The 17,151-nt window shown below is 52.7% G+C and overlaps 1 protein-coding gene across 1 annotated transcript, besides 2 other annotated features; it reads right to left on the bottom strand.

The window, feature by feature from the left end:
- Window positions 354-889: an enhancer, noted in NCBI's record as "H3K4me1 hESC enhancer chr20:3053517-3054052 (GRCh37/hg19 assembly coordinates)". NCBI's record gives its function as "activates a minimal SCP1, AML or CMV promoter by ChIP-STARR-seq in naive H9 embryonic stem cells {active_cell/tissue: H9 hESC(naive)}" and the evidence as "EXISTENCE:reporter gene assay evidence [ECO:0000049][PMID:30033119]".
- Window positions 5,060-5,824: a transcriptional cis regulatory region, noted in NCBI's record as "candidate enhancer chr20.213 targeted for multiplex CRISPR interference". NCBI's record gives its function as "positively regulates AVP gene expression in K562 cells {active_cell/tissue: K562}" and the evidence as "EXISTENCE:mutant phenotype evidence [ECO:0000015][PMID:30612741]".
- Window positions 10,039-12,207, bottom strand: AVP (arginine vasopressin). Its single transcript, NM_000490.5, has 3 exons — window positions 12,038-12,207; window positions 10,460-10,661; window positions 10,039-10,285 (listed from the first exon to the last, which is right to left on the bottom strand). Exons 1-3 carry the CDS (start codon window positions 12,155-12,157, stop codon window positions 10,113-10,115), a joined length of 495 nt encoding a protein of 164 aa, NP_000481.2. The 5' UTR covers window positions 12,158-12,207; the 3' UTR covers window positions 10,039-10,112.

Here is a 17,151-nt window from a genome sequence, read left to right on the forward strand (position 1 = left end):
CCTTGACTCGTGTCTAAGTGCCAGAAATGGGACGGGGAGGGGGCATTGTGGGACTGGAAGATCGCGCGCGTTGGACCTGTGGCTTGTTGCGCTCAGAGCTGGCCCAGGAAGACGTGTCCCGGCTACCCGAGGGGACAGAGCGGGTGCTGTTCTGGCTGCCACCACCCTGGAGGGGCTGGAAGAGGGAGGGGCACAAAGGCTCTGAGGACGTGGAAACAGCCCCAGCTTCCCGCTCCCAGCCTGGGCTGAGGCCTACAGCAGGCTGCACCTCAGGGGATCTTTCAAAATTCAAAAAGACGAGGATGAGGGAGCAAATACAGACAAGGGTCTGAGCGGGATGACCACAGGAAGCGGGCAGTGCACACTGAATGGCTTCCTGACCCCTGAAAGGAGGTTTGAGCCACACTTAGAAGTTGAGGGAGCGGAGCGGGCCTGGGGGGAGGGGGCCCTGGGGAGCAGCTGAAGGGCCAACATGTTTCCAAGGAGCTGGCCCCCAGGAGGCCACTGGCACGCTCAGAAGAGGAGCCCAAGCTGCCGGGACTGGGCTTGAATGCCAGCATGACCGTCCCTGGTGTCCCCAGGGCTGGGTCTGACCCAGCAGCTCTACTCCTGCCTGTGCAATAAAACATGTCAGGGCTGGGGACCCCACAAGCGGACAGGGGATCTTGAGAGCCCAGGGCCACAGAAATGACATGAACAAAGAGAAGCTCTTAACCTCTATCTCCTATCGGTGAAGCAAAAGTATCTGAGACAGGTCTCAAACAACTTAATCTTTTTTTTTTTTGAGATCGAGTTTCGCTCTTGTTGCCCAGGCTGGAGTACAATGATGCAATCTCACCTCACTGCAACCTCTGCCTCCCGGGTTCAAGCGATTCACCTGCCTCAGCCTCCTGAGTGGCTGGGACTACAGGCACCCAACACCACATCTTGCTAATTTTTGTATTTTCAGTAGAGATGGGGTTTCACCACGTAGACCAGGCTGGTCTCAAACTCCTGATGTCAGGTGATCCACCCACCTCGGCCTCCCAAAGTGCTGGGATGATAGGTGTGAGCCACCGTGCCCAGTCAACGTTTCAATCAATTTAGAAAGCTGATTAAGGGCCAGGCACAGTGGCTCATGCCTGTAATCCTAGCACTTTGGGAGGCCTAGGCAGTTTGATGACCTGAGGTCAGGAGATCGAGACCAGCCTGGCCAACATGGCGAAACCCCGACTCTACTGAAAATACAAAAATTAGCCGGGGGTGGTGGCAGGTGCCTATAATCCCAGCTACTTGGGAGGCTGAGGCAGAAAAATCATTTGAACCTAGCGGTGGCAGAGGTTGCAGTGAACCGAGATCATGCCACTTCACTCCGTCCTGGGCAAAAGAGCGAAACTCCATCGCAAAAAGAAAGAATGAAAGAAAGCTGATTAAGGACACTCCTCAGGAGGTCCCCTGAGGACATGTGTCCAAGCCTGGTTTTTTGTTTGAGATGGAGTCTCGCTCTCTGGCTCTGTCGCCCAGGCTGGAGTGCAATAGCATAATCTTGGCTCACTGCAACCTCTGCCTCCCGGGTTCAAGCAATTCTCCTGCCTTAGCCTCCTGAGTAGCTAGGATTACAGGTGCACATCACCACGCTCAGCTAATTTTTGTATTTTTAGTAGAGACGGGGTTTCACCATGTTGGTCAAGCTGGTCTCGAACTCCTGACTTCATGATCTGCCCGCTTAGGCCTCCCAAAGTGCTGGGATTATAGGCATGAGCCACCGCGCCCGGCCTGGTTTTATACATTTTAGGGAGACATGAGACATTGATTAATACATGTGAGATGAACATTGGTTTGCTCTGGAAAGGCAGGACAACTCGAAGGGGGGTTGTGGGGGTCCCAGGTCTTAGGTGGATAAGAGACAAAAGGTTGCCTTCTTTTGAATCTTTGTTCAGCCTTTCACTGAAAACACAATTTACATGTGAGAGTGGGGTAGAGGAATAGTCGACTTATGCCTCAGTCTGGCTCAGTGAATCTGCATTTTTACATAAACAATACGGCAGAAGGAGAAATCAGGTATGCATTTGTCTCAGGTGAGCAGAGGGATGACTTTGAGTTCTAGCCTTTGTCCCGCACCTGTGAAGATAAGCTATCAATTTACATTGCCAGGGTGAATTGAGGCTCACAGGCAATTTCCCTGTGGGTAAATTGTGAAGGAAGTATGTAGCTCTTTGTAGTTTCTTAATGAAGGAATAAAATAGGAGGCAGCTTTGCCTGACTCAGTTCCCAGTTTGACTTTTCCCTTTGACTTAGTGACTTTGGGGTCTTGCGATTTGAAATTTATTAATTTTCCTTTCCCACATCTATCCCTGCATCTAGACCCTGAGAATCAGATAAAAGCCTAGTCCCCAGAACACGCCCCCATCCCCCTGCCCATGTCACTGGGCAGTGCACTTCAGAAAGCCCACGCCCACTCTCTCACTCCGAAGAAAACAGGAACAGGCCATTCCTGTGGCTTCCTCACACTCAGGAGCAACAGGGCGGGGCAGGGAGAATGAACCCACAGGTGCAAGACTGAAAAAATATACTGAAGAGCACCGTAAGATTTCCTTCACAGGTGGTACAAAACAGGCCAAAAACCTATATGGGCCTCGAGGTTTGGGTGGGCAGTGGCTGGAAAAGGTGTCAGGGGCTTCCTGGGTGCTGCCCAGATTCTCTTTCTTGGCCTGGGAGCTGGTGAAACAGGTGTGCTCAGTTTATGAAAATGCATTAAACTGTATACATGGGATTGGTTCACTTTTGTTTGTAATTAAACAGTTGGCCCTTTCTGTCCGTGAGATGTACACCAGTGGAATCAACCAATCTGGGATTGTAAATTTATGAAAAAAAAAAGTCTCTGTACTGAGCATGTCCAGATATTTTTGTCTTCTCATTATTCCCTCAACAATGCAGTATAACAACAATTGACATGACATTTACATTGTATTAGTTTTGTGTTTGTTTGTTTTTGAGACGGAGTCTCGTTCTGTCGTCTGTGCTGGAGTGCAATGGCGCAATCTCAGCTCACTGCAATCTCTGCCTCCTAGGTTCAAGCAATTCTCCTGCCTAAGCCTCCCAAGTAGCTGGGATTACAGGTGCCCCCCACCACGACCAGCTAATTTTTTTGTATTTTTAGTAAAGATGGGTTTTCACCATGTTGGTCAGGCTGGTCTTGAACCCGACTAGAGTGGATGATCTGGCACCTCGACCTCCCAAAGTGCTGGGATTACAGACATGAGCCACTGCACCCAGCCACAGTGAGGCTTTTGAAAGCCCCAGTGGCCTACGGCACAGTGGAATGGTTTTTGCTGGAGCTGTGAGGGGACACCCCTCTTTTGACCTCACATCTTGGGGTAAGGAAGAGGGGGGATTTGTTATGCAAAGGAACAAGAGATTGACTCAAAGCGGAGAACGTGGACTTCTTTTCAAATTGTTCAGAACTATTTGATACACAGAAAGGGGTATTTGAGGAAAGTGGTCAAAGTTCTGTGGCCCCTCAGAAACCACCTGGAGAGAGAGGGGAGCATCTGCCCACAGAGCACCTGAGGGACCCCCCCACCTCCACTCGTATGGGCACGATCCTGCGGATTTGTGCTTTCCAAGCTGCCTGTCCACCTGCCACATTTGTGGGACGTCTGGGCCTCCCACTGGGACCTCACTCCTTCCTCTGAGTGCCGCACATTCTCTCCCACCCCAGTGGCTCTGATACAGAGCAGAGGGGTGTCCGCCCAGCTTTCCCCACCTTGGGAGAGACTTCAGGGTCCCCTCACCCCCTTAGGCACCCGCCCACTGGGCCATTCTTTCCCTGGGATCCAATGCCCGCAGTGTTTTCTTTTGCAGCCTTAAAACACAGAGGGCTGGCTGGGCAAGGTGGCTCATGCCTGTAATCCCAGCACTTTGGGAGGCTGAGCGGGGGGGATGGATCACATAAGGTCAGGAGTTCAAGACCAGCCTGGCCATAATGGCGAAACCCTGTCTCTACTAAAAAAAATACAAAAATTAGCCGGGCGTGGTGGTGTGCACCTGTAGTCCCAGCTACTCAGGAGAATTATTGCTTGAATTGCCTGAACCCACGAGGTGGAGATTGCAATGAGCCAAGATCACACCACTGCATTCCAGTCCGGGCAACAGAAGAAGACCCCATCTCTAAAATAATAATAATAAAGATAGTATTCTGGCCTCCATAGCCATATTCTTTTGTTTTATTTTTCAATTGTTTCAGAACTTGAGGGTTATAGTTAGTTAAGGTAAGGTTAGGCTGCTATAATAAAAACATCCAAATGGTAAAGAGACACTGTGGGCTTAAGGAAGATAGGTGTTTATTTCCCTCTCTTTTCTATCAGCCTGACACGAACTTTCCTGGTTCTGTTCCACCCTGCCATTTAGGACCCAGTTTTCTTCCATCGTACAGTTACGTCATCCCCTAGGCCTTGTCACTGCCTGCATGCTTCAGGCTGGAGGGCTGTGGATGCCACCTGGTGGAAAGAGAAAGAGTATGGAAGGGAAGAGGTGCACCCACTGTCTTAAAATTTCAAGTGCCGGCCAGGCGCAGTGGCTCACACCTGTAATCCCAGATACTTGGGAGGCTGAGGCAGGAGAATCACTGGAACCCCAGAGGCACAGGTTGCAGTGAGCCTAGATTGTGCCATTACACTCCAGCCTGGGCGACAAGAGTGAGACTCTGTCTCAAAGAAAAAAAAAGATTTCAAGTGCCACTTTTCCTTTTACTCAGGTTTTAGTGACAAAAGCATGGTCATGTGGCCTACTTTACTGCAAAGGAGGCGGGGAAATATAGCTAAGATTTCTTTTTTTTTTTTTTTTTTTTTTTTTGAGACAGAGTCTCACTCTGTCACCCAGGCTGGAGTGCAGTGGCGCGATCTTGGCTCACTGCAACCTCTGCCTCCGGGGTTCAAGCAATTCTGGTGCCTCAGCCTCCCGAGTAGCTGGGACTACAGGCACGTAGCTGGAACTACAGGCACGTAGCTGGGACTACAGGCAGGCGACACCACGCCTGGCTAATTTTTTTGTATTTTTAGTAGAGACAGAGTTTCGCCATGTTGGCCAGGCTGGTCTTGAATTTCTGACTTCAGGTGATCCGCCCACCTTGGCCTCCCAAAATGCTGGGATTACAGGAGTGAGCCACTGCGCCCAGCAACAATTTCATGACCCTGAAAGAAGCTGTGGTAGATAGCAAAAACATTACCGCAATTCTCCACCCCTCCCTGTAGCCACATCCACAATATGACTTTGCAATTTCTCCCATCACGAGAAGTCTATTTCTCTACTCCTTGAATCAGTTCTCATCCACCTACTTTGAAATGTCTCCATGGTGGTTTGTCACATTGTGGCCAATGGAATACAGCAGAAGTAATGAATGGCAGATCTAAGCTGAGCCTAGACCCCAAGAAGTCTTGTACACCTTGTTTGTTCTTTTGCTCCTCTGTCTCACCACAAGAACAAGCTCAGGCTAGCTACTCTACAGGAGGATGAGAGACCATGTGGAGCAGAGTCAGACCTCAGCTGAGCTATCAGCTGCTAACAGATGTACGACTAAGTTCAGTCAAGACCAGTCAAATCCAGCCAGCTTCCCCAGAACCATTCAGACAACCCATAGAGTGATGGGAAATAATAATTGGTGTGTTTAAGCCACCTCATTTTGGGAGCAGTTTGTTATCCAGCGTAACTGTGGCAATAGATACATGATATGGAGGGAGAAGAGATTTTGATGAACAACTAGCATTCTCAGCCAGAGTATTAGGTAACTGGATACTCTGAACTCCTAGCAATGACAGTGTTTATCTTCTTTTGAGAATTATATGAACAAATTTCCCATTGTTGAGCCATCTTTCCATTCATTAAGAAATCCTATTTGCTTATGATGTACTCTTCAATTTAGTCTTCTGCAGTTTATTTACTAATATTATTTTTTGGATGTTTGAACCTAAGTCATAAATTAGACTGTTACATACCTTTTCTCTGGGCTATAATTTTATATCAGTTAGGACTGAACTTATTATTAGGTTGGTGCAACATAATAGGTTTTTGCCATTACTTTTCCACCTACCTATAGTAAGTAACAGAAAACCCAGCAGATAGCACCGTGAATGAACAGTTTGTTCATGCAACTTTCAGGCTAGAGAGCAGCATTTTAGGACTAGTAGTATAACCATTCCACAGTGCCTTCACAACCCAACCTGCTCTGCCTCCCTGCTGTGTCAGCCTTAGTGTACACCTTTCGTCCTCATGTCACAAAACTATTACTTGTTCTTTTTTTGTTGTTGTTGTTGTTGAGGCAGAGTCTCGCTCTGTCACCCAGGTTGGAGGGCAGTGGCGCCATCTCTGCTCACTGCATGTTCTGCCTCCTGGGTTCACGCCATTCTCCTGCCTCAGCCTCCCGAGTAGCTGGGACTACAGGCGCCCGCCACCACGCCCGGCTAATTTTTTTTGTACTTTTAGTAGAGACGGGGTTTCACCATGTTAGCCAGGATGGTCTTGATCTCCTGACCTCATGATCCACCCACCTCAGCCTCCCAAAGTGCTGGGATTACAGGCGTGAGCCACCGCGCCCAGCCTCCTATTACTTGTTCTTTGAGCATTATGCCTGACCCAGGCAAGATGAAAGCAGAAGGGTCAATCATTTCTCCTTTAATATTAAGGTAGGATTTTGCTTTTGCTTCTGTCCACAGAGTAACTGGTAACTGACTAGGCCTCCCACCATAAGCAGTTGCAAAACTGGATAAAATATATAAAGCAACTATTTTCAGGCACGATAGACAGAAGGAAATTCGGTAGGTGAATCCCATGATTACGCCAGGATTCTGCTGGGAACAATGTCCTGGCCACGATGCAACAAGACAGAGTGTGAGCAGAGCATGGCTGTCACACTGACCGGGGAGGCATGGAAAGAAGTTGCAAAAATCCTCAGTGAAAAAAAAGAAAGAAATTACTATCTATGTAGAAAATCTCAAAGAATCTTCAAAAAAGCTATTAGATCTAATAAGTACATTTAGCAAGATCACAGGGTACAAAGTCAACAATAATTCATAATTCTATATACTAACAATAACTACTTGGAAATTAAATTTTAAAACACAGTACTATTTAAAATAGTGTGAAAAATATGAAATCTTTTGGGTAGAAATCTTACATAATATATACAAATTCTATATGCTGAACTAATAAAATGCTGATGGAAGAAATAGAAGACCTGAATAACTGGAGAGATATATTTGTTTATTGATTTGGAAGACTCATCAGAGTAAAGATGTCAGTTCTCCCCAAATTGATTGAAAGATCCAACACAATTCTAATTAAACTCCCAATAGGATTTTTTTGTAGAAATCATTAAGTTGATTCTAAAATTTATACAGAATGACAAAGGAACTAGAATAGCCAAAACAATTTTGAAAAAGAACAAAGTTGGAAAAGCCACACAACCTGATAAAGTTATCATATTCAAAATAGTATAATATTATAGAAAGGATAGATCTAGGCCAGGTGCGGTGGCTCACGCCTGTAATCCCAGCACTTTGGGAGGCCGAGGCAGGCAGATCACCTGAGATCAGGAGTTCGAAACCAGCCTGGACAACACGGCTGTTGAGATCACGCCACTGCACTCCAGACTGTGCAACAGAGTGAGACTCTGTCTAAAAAAAAAAAAAAAAAGATCACTGGAACAGATTGGAGAGTTCAGAAATAGATTCACATATATATGGCACTATCTCAGCTCACTGCAACCTCCGCCTCCCGGGATCAAGCAATTCTCCTGTCTCAGCCTCCCGAGTAGCTGGGACTACAGGTGCACACCACCATGCCCAGCTACTTTTTGTATTTTTAGTAGACACAGGTTTTCAAACTCCTGACCTCAGCCAATCCTCCTGCCTCAGCCTCCCAAAGTGCTGGAATTACAGGCATGAACCACCACACCTGGCCAAGAAGTTCTTTAACAAGAGACACTGCTGTGTCCTTAATGTAGATGCTGAAAAATAAATAAATAAAAATAAAAATTAAAAAGAGATTGCCGATGTTACCATTTTTATGAAACAGCAGATGTGGAGGCTTGGACACTGCTTTGCCCCTTGTGGTGGGTTTGCCGCAGCCCATTTGCCCTGTAGAGACTGAGCAGACAAGGGCAGACCTCTCCTTGCTAAATGGCTCTGTAGCTGGGCCAGGGGACTCAAGGAGAGGGAGAAAGAGTGAAAGACTGTACAGGGAGGTGGACATTTGGGCAAATTGGGGGTGGGCAGACATTCGTCACCCCTTCCAAGAAATAGTAGCCTGATTGTTTTGACAAAGACAAGTGGAGGGAAAGGAGTCTCTGAATCTGTATTTAGGAAGAGGAAGTTCCTGGACCTCATTCTAAAACTGTCCCCAAGTCCAGACACTAACACTTTGGATTGAATTCAGTGCAGCCAAGCCACCTGCCTCTTCCTATTTCCCAGTCTGGAAGAGTTAATAAATTCCTATTAGGTTTGGTCCTGCTCTAGCCCCAGCCAGATGGGGGATGGCCCTGAGTGGACAACATGAAACAGGAGCAGGAGGTCATGGCAGTGACCCAAGCCTGCATGGTCCCTGTCCCCACTGGCTAGACCCAGTCGTGCCGGGCACTGCCTGGCAGAGGAGCCCAGAACCAGGTCAGGGGTGAGAGCCAAGGGGAGCCCTGGGAGTGTGGAAGAGAGCCTGACCTTGACATGTGCCTGGACTCTGCCCAGGGCTGCTGAGGCTGGGCTGCTTGAGTCACCAGGCTTGGCCGTAAGCCTGGGCATTGGGGTCAGGGCCCAGGCGGACTTCCCTCCTCCTGCACTCCCTCCTGACCTCAGAGTTTGCGGAGGATCCCGAAGGAGATGCAGCCTCTTGTGGCTCCAAGACCTGGAGCAGGAAGCCCAAGGAGAGGATGCAGAGAAAAGAGGAGGCCAAGAGAGAGAAGGATGGGAGGTGGCAGAGGGGGTGAGGGGACAGAAGGGGAGGGGTGGAGGGGCCAAGGAGAGAGGCAAGAGGGGGCCCAGGAGCTGGCAGAACAGGGAGGCGAGAGCAGAGTGAGAGACAAAGGAGAGAAAGGGGCAGATGGGACCAGAAAGGCCTCAGGTTCAAGAAGGGGGTGAGAGAACCCAAGGGATGCAGAGGAAGAGGCCGAGCACTGCTGGACGTCTTTTCGCCAAAGGGGCTCATGTCAAAGGGCGGAAGGTCTTCATGTCTGGGAGCTAATGTGAGTGCACTCCTGCTTGTGTGAGCCTGTACATACATGCTCCTGCCCATCCTCGTGTCGGCTGTGTCTGTGTTTCTCTGGGTGTCTGTGGCTCTGAATGTGGGGCTCAGGGTCTCTGTGGTTGTGGTCAAGGGTTGCGGACACGTTCTTAGCAGTTATTTTCTTGTCTGTTTCTGTCCAAGCGTGCTTGGGGTTGTGTGGGGCTGTATCTGTTAGGGGTCCCCCACTCTGGCTGAGGGGCCCTAATGGTGGGTGCACTGGACAGACAGTGATGTCCCCACCGCCACTACACACGAGCACTGCCTTGGGTGAATCAGACATTGCACTGGGAATCCCGGGACCAGGGTGGGTCCCTGAGCGGTTTGTGTTTCAGTCTCCTGGGATGAAAATGGGGACAGAATGGTCACCCCTCGGCCTGTCCCCTCTGCCTCTCTCACTCTTCTCTCCGTCACTGTCAATGTCTCTGCATCTCTCTCCAACATTCTGCTGTCTCTGTCTCTGGGTCTCTTGCTGTCTTGTCCTCCAGGCCTTTCCCTCTCTGCCTTTACTTCTTTCCCTCTGCCGGAGGATCCTCAACCCACCCCCTCCAAGGCCACTCTCGGCCTCTGGTCTCCCCCTCCCCTGCCTCCCAATTCGCCCTGTCCCTCGGTCTAGCGACACCTCTGCGGGTCCCAGATCGCTTCCTCTACGGGACCTGTTGCTTCTCTGGGGTGGATCTGCCCACGACCTCAGGTCCGGGGACTGGCCGGTGGGCGTGGTGGCGGGGGTCCGCGCTCCCACCTCTCTCCCTTTCCCTCTTCCCGCCAGAGACTGAGACAGACGCGAGGCCGTGCATTGGCGGAGGTTTATTGTCCGTGCTGCAGGGGCGGGCGCGAAGAGCGCGCCGGTGGGGCGAGCGCGGGGCTCAGTAGGCGTCGGGCTGGGCGGGCTCGAAGGGCTCGGGCGCCCCGGCCAGCTGCACCAGCCGCAGCAGCAAGGCCCCGGCCGGCCCGTCCAGCTGCGTGGCGTTGCTCCGGTCGCTGGCGCGGGCGCGGCGGTGAAAGCCCTCGCGGCACTCGGGCTCGGTCACGCAGCTCTCTGCCGGGAGGACGTGTGAGCACGGGCGCCCTGGGGCGGGCGCAGCTCGGGGTGCGGGGGGCCCACACCCTCCCTGCCGGGCCCGACGCAGCCCCCACCCCGCCGCAGGCCCGCGTCCCCCCCACCCAAGCGGTCTGCGCCCCCCCCAGCCCCAGGCCCGCCCCCGCCGCGCACCGTCGTTGCAGCAAACGCCGAAGGCGGCGCAGCGGCCCCCGCTCCCGCACGCCTTCTGGCCGGACTGGCAGGGCGACGGCAGGTAGTTCTCCTCCTGGCAGCGCAGCGCCTCAGCCGTGCCCACGAAGCAGCCCAGCTCGTCCGCGCAGCAGATGCTGGGCCCGAAGCAGCGGCCTTTGCCCCCGGGGCCGCAGGGGAGGCACTGCGGGGACGGGCGGGGTGAGCGGGAGGAGGGGAGCCGGGAGTCGAGGGGTTGGAGGGGAACGCAGCGAGGCGGGGATGCTGGGGTCCAGGGCTCGGAGTGCGGGCGGGACACCGGGGCTGCGGCTGCAGGCACGCTCGGGCGCCACTGGGCCTCGACCGCGGTCACGGGCGGGGCGTCCAGATCTGCTCGGCACCTTGGTTTCTTGGATGACCTCTCGGTGACAGCCCTCAGCGTCCTCACCCTCAGCTAGGGACGGGTCTCCCGTGGACTACAGCGTGGGGAACCCTTCCTCGAGCCTCGGGGTCATCGCTGGTGGGCGCCACTGTTGCAGCTGCCCCACCCTCCACCACTCCAGACCCTTCCTCCTTCCTCCTCGCCCTGCTGCGGCTTGAGCCCGGGCCCACCCCCTTCCCCACTACACCATGCGGAGAGGCCCTACCCATCCAGAACCCCGGCCCTTCCCATTTCCTGTCTCCTCTCTTGCCTTGCCCCTGGCCCCCGCCAAGCTTGTCGGCCTCAGCTGGAGCCCTGACCCCTGCTCAGCCACCTATGACCTATCAGGTGGGTGGCAGGGGCCTGAGACCTAGAGGCGAGCACGGACACCCAGGTGCCTCAGGACCCTAAAGGAGCCTAGCAGGAGGAAGAGAGGCTGCGGGGGTTGCCGAGCGGCCACTCTCATCTGCTCAACAGCCGGTTCTCTGGCGCAATGGATAGCGCATTAGACTTTTAGCTGAGCCTGGTGTGGTCTAATTTGCTCAAGGGCTCATCATTGAGCCTGGACAGAATTGCATGCACATCGTGATTGGATTTCCTTCAGCTCTGCTGGAAATGGAGGAAACGTCCAGCACTATAGAATTAGGCCAGGTTCCCAGCAGAACTTCCCCACAGGATGCCCCACTCAAGCGCGCTCAGACCAGTGGCCATCTTCTGTGTGGGGGCCTGGGCGCCTGTGGCTGGGAGGCTGGGGCTGGATGAGGAAAGCCTCCAATGCTAGGTAGGATGGAGCCTCTGCTGCCCCAGCCAGTCCAGATGCAAGAACGCCATGGGCACAGGGGAGGCCATGATGCCCCGTTCTCCCTATCCAGCCCCAAGCCCAGTCACCGGGGAAGCATCCCTCATTTCCCTGCATCCCTGTCTGGATGGCGACAGTGACCAGGAGCGCCTTCAGCCTCTCCCAGCCTCCTCCAAAGCCTGGTCCCCTCTGGCCCACCCCATTGGCTCCTCTGCCCAGCCATGCCATGCCTCCCTCTTCCTCCCCCGAACTTCCCCTAAAGGCTACCACCACCCATGACTTCCCTCTTTCCTAGCCCCTGACCCAGGGTGTCAGCACTGCCCGCTATGGCAGCCCTGAGATGGCCCACAGTGGGAAGTACCTGTCTCAGCTCCAGGTCGGACATGGCCCTCTTGCCGCCCCTCGGGCAGTTCTGGAAGTAGCACGCGGAGGAGAAGGCCAGTAGGCCGAGGAAGCAGGCGGGCAGCATGGTGTCAGGCATCCTGGTGCACACAGGTGGACCCCGTATGCAGCACTGCTTGGTGGCTCTGTGCTGCTGCCTCTGCTGGCTGCCTATTTATGTCCGCAGGTGTTCCCGTGGAGGCGAGACGCGGCCGCCACCCCCTCCCCAGTGGCTCCCCAGGAGCCCACGGCCGCCAGGTCCCCAGCCGTCAGCAGTGATTCAGGCATCTGGGGACACACGTGGGCCTGTCTGTGCAGGGGATCATAGGGGAGGGGTACGGGCCGCCAGGCTGTCATGGGCCGCGGAATGACAGCAATTGCCTCTACTGTGACTGCAGCGCTCTGGATTCAGGGAGAGGGACAGACTGGGGGGTCACCTGGAGACCATCTCTGAGCTTTCTGATTACCCAGAAATGGCGTAGGGTCCAAGAAGAGGGTAAGAGGAACCGAGGGGCTGCGTGTTAGGGGCAGGGACAGGCCCTGGCCTAGGAGCTGTGGGGCAGGGGACAGCCAGGTGTGTGGGGAGGGTTAGCCCTGTGACAACAAGATAAGGGACCAAGAACAGCACAAGCCCAGAGTGGTGAGGACAGGGGCTGCACCAGAGATGAGAATCCCTGCCTCGTGGACAAGGCAGCCGCCGTCGTGGAGTCAAGGGACACAGAATGAGAGGGGCTTGTTCTCACAGGGTAGGGGGGTGGCAGGTTGCTGGGGAAAGTGCAAGACATGACACCCCCGCACCCCCATAGAGCAGGGCATGGGGACTCAGGCCCTGAAACTGGGGGCCTTGGGGACACATTGGCACATGACCCGTCACCCCCTCCCAGGTAGAAACATGAGTGTGGAGAGCTACTATGGGGAGAAAGAACTCCATGCCAAGTAAGGTTCAAAGGCGGGGGGAGCCCCAGGAAACCTGACAACAGTTTGTCCCAATTCCTACCCCCACCAGGACCTTAGTATGTGGCAACCAGGGCAGGTACATCTCAGGCCTGGGGTGGGAGAGCCGGGGGTGGGGGGTGTCTGGGCCTGGGGGAAGGTGCAGGAGGAGCCATACCTAAATGGACCCAGCCTGAGAAAGCCACTTTTGGTCCCTAATCCCAAGGTGGCAGGTCTAAAGAGGACATGGCCTCTCTCCCTGGGCCACCAGAATGCCCCGCTGGTCTGGGGTTCAGGCCCGGTACCCCCTGCCTCTCAAGCTGTGCGCAGTCCCCAGCTCTCGCAGTTCCCACAGGCTCTTGGCCTCCTCTCCAGGGTGCATAGAGGTGCTGCGAGGAAATTCCAGGGGACACAGCAGCCCCATCTCCAGCAAGGGCAGTGAGGGGGCCAGCAACCCAGGAGGGGCCTCCTATACTCAGGCCATGGCGTCGGTCTTTTCAGGAATGACCCCTCAGGGACTGCAAGGACCCTTTGAGAGGCAACACTGGGCAGTTGTTATTGCAGGAACACTGGCTCCCAATAGCTTGGCTCAGGGTCTGGCCTCTGTTGCTCGACACTTCATGGCTTGGGCAGCTCACTGGACTTCTCTGTGCCTTACTTTCTGCCAGTGTGAAGTAAGGAAAATCATGGTACCCACCTCCTAGGGTCAATGTGAGGACAGAAATAAATAATTTATTATACAAAAGCTTTAGAGCCAGGCATGGCAGCTTATGCCTGTAATCCCAGCTACTTGGGAGACCCAGACAGGAGGTTGAGACCAGTCTCGGCAACATAGCAAGACCCCATCTCTATTTTTTTTTTTTTTTTTTGAGACAGAGTCTCACTCTGTCAACCCAGGCTGGAGTGCAGTGGCACAATCTCGGCTCAGTACAACCTCCACCTCCCGGGTTCAAGCGATCCTCCTGCCTTAGCCTCCCAAGTAGCTGGGATTACAGGCACGCGTCACCACGCCAGGTTAATTTTTGTATTTTTAGTAGAAATGGGGTTTCACCATATTGGCCAGTCTGGTCTTGAACTCCTGGCTTCAAGTGATCCACCCGCCTCGGCCTCCCAAAGTGCTGGGATTACAGGCATGAGCCACCGTGCTCGGCCCCATCTCTAATTTTAAATAAATAAATAAATACTTTTTTTTTGAGACAGAGTCCCGTTCTGTCACCCAGACTGGAGTGCAGTGGCGTGATCTCAGCTCACTGCAGCTTCCAACTCCGGGGTTCAAGTGATTCTCTTGCCTCGGCCTCCCAAGTAGCTGGGATTACAGGCGCCTACCACCACGCCTGGCTAATTTTTTTGTATTTTTACTAAAGATGGGGTTTTGCCATGTTGGCCAGGCTGGTCTTGAACCTGACCTTGTGATCCTCCTGCCTTGGCCTCCCAAAGTGCTGGGATTACAAGTGTGAGCCGCCGCGCCCGGCCTATAAATACATTTTAAATTGAAAAAAAAAAACAACAGCTTTAAGGCTGGGCACGGTGGCTCACACCTGTAATCCCAGCACTTTGAGAGGCAAAGGCAGAAGGATCACTTGAGCCCAGGAGTTCGAGACCAGCCTGGACAACATAGACCTTATCACTACAGATAATTTAAAAATTGGGCAGGTGTGGTGGTGCATGCCTGTGGTCCCAGCTACTCGGGAGGCTGAGGTGGAAGAATTGCTTGAGCCCAGGCTGCAGTGAGCCATACCTGAGCCACTGCACTCCAGCTTGGGTGAGAGTGAGACACTGTTTCAAAAGAAAAAGTAGCTTTAGAAAAGTGCCTGCATGTGGCCAGGTGCGGTGGCTCATGCCTGTAATCCCAGCACTTTGGGAGGCCGAGGCAGGCGGATCATGAGGTCAGGAGATCTAGACCATCCTGGCTAACATGGTGAAACCCCGTCTCTACTAAAAATCCAAAAAAAAAAAAAAATTAGCCGGGTGTGATGGCGGGCGCCTGTAGTCCCAGCTACTCAGGAGGCTGAGGCAGGAGAATGGCATGGACCTGGGAGGCAGAGCTTGCAGTGAGCCAAGATCGCGCCACTGCACTCCAGCCTGGGCGACAGAGCGAGACTCCGTCTCAAAAAAAAGAAAAAGGGGGCTGCAGCATTGTAAAGTTAATGAACAGTAGTATTGCATTAGTAATGCCATTATTCTTTGTTTTGTTTTGTTTGAGATGGAGTTTTGCTCTTGTTGCCCAGGCTGGAGTGCAGTGACGCGATCTTGGCTCACTGCAACCTCTGCCTCCCAGGTTCAAGCGATTCTTCTGCCTCAGCCTCCTGAGAAGCTGGGATTACAGGCGCCCATCTCCACGTCCAGCTAATTTTTGTATTTTTAGTAGAGACAGGGTTTCACCATGTTGGCCAGGCTGGTCTCAAACTCCTGGCCTCAGGTGATCCACCCCACTCAGCCTCCCAAAGTGCTGGGATTACAGGCATGAACCACCATGCCTGGCCAATGCCATTATTCTTGTTAAGAGCTAGGAGATTTTTCCAGAGAGAGCAGCTTCCTGGATTAGTCTAGGAGGAACATTTTCATTCTACTCCTGGCCTGGAAACAAGCTTGGTCTGAGGCCGTTGCCCCGCTGAGACTCTGTGGGTTGTGAGGCTAGCTGAGGAGAGAGGCTGGAGGCCTGGCTAAGGCGCCTTGGCCCAGCACCTTACCCCTTCTTCACTGCAGGGGGTTGAGTCAACAACTGAAAACGGATGAGGCCAGACTGACTGAAGGGCCCAAGCCATGGGACAGCCAGGACCTCTGTGCTGACCAGATCTGTCTACCAGGATCTTCATTCTAAGACCGGCCTCCCACACCGAGGCCCCTTTCTCCCAGGACCTACCTTCTCGGAACCTTGGCTGACTGGGAAAAGTCTCTATCCTGTGCTGACTGGCTGCATTTCCAACACATCACCCCATATGTCACATGGACCCCCCAGACACTGCACACCCTTCTACACGTCCCTTACAGGTTTCCTTTCCCAATCTACTTTTTACATCTTCTCGGTCCTTTTATCTCCTACATCTCAGCTCATGATCCTGATTCATTCATCCTTCCAAAAGAAAGGAGTCAGCTCCTTCACCAGTTCCTTCCCCCTCCCCTGATGTATACCCTTCATCCACCATTTTCTAAATACAATGACGTTATGATAGATCAGTATTACAAGTTAGATTGCAATTCTGCCCTCTGAGCTAAGCCACGTAGTATATTATGATGATCTTTCTATCTGTGAACAACTTTTTGTATTCCTTGGAGTTAGTGGTCATCTTGGTTTTTCATTTGTGGTCCATCTGCCCTTTGTTTTTGTTTTTGTTTTTGTTTTTGTTTTTAGAGATGGGGTCTCACTCCACCTGCCATTTATCCAGAAGTCAACATTTATTCTTCAACTCCCTCCACCTGGGCTTCTGCTCAAACCAGCCCATTGAAACTCCTGTTGTCAAGGTGTTAAACTACTTCCATATTGAAAAATGTGGTCGGCTGGGCGCAATGGCTTACACCTGTAATCCCAGCACTTTGGGAGGCCGAGGCCGGTGGATCACGAGGTCAGGTGTTCGAGACCAGCCTGGCCAGCATAGTAAAACCTCGTCTCTACTAAAAATAGAAAAATTAGCCGGGCGTGGTGGCACCTGCCTGTAATCCCAGCTACTCGGGAGGCTGAGGCAGGAAAATCGCCTGAACCCAGGAGGCGGAGGTTGCAGTGAGCCAAGATCGTGCCACTGCACTCCAGCCTGGGCAACAGAGCAAGACTCCGTCTCAAAAAAAAAAAAAAAAAAAAAAAAACGAAAAATGTGGTGGTGATGTCTATGTCCTTATTTCACATGATCTAGCAGCATTTGACATGGGTGAACACTTATCCTTTTCTTTTTTTTTTTTTTTCTGAGACGGAGTCTTGCTCTGTCGCCCAGGCTGGAGTGCAGTGGTGTGATCTCCGCTCACTGCAAGCTCCGCCTCCTGGGTTCATGCCATTCTCCTGCCTCAGCCTCCCGAGTAGCTGGGACTACAGGTGCCCGCCACCGCGCCCGGCTAATTTTTTGTATTTTTAGTAGAGACGGGGTTTCACCGTGTTAGCCAGGATGGTCTCGATCTCCTGACCTCATGATCTGCCTGCCTCGGACTCCCAAAGGGCTGGGATTATAGGCG

This window comes from Homo sapiens, chromosome 20 (genome assembly GCF_000001405.40).
Source record: "Homo sapiens chromosome 20, GRCh38.p14 Primary Assembly".
NCBI lineage: Eukaryota > Metazoa > Chordata > Mammalia > Primates > Hominidae > Homo > Homo sapiens.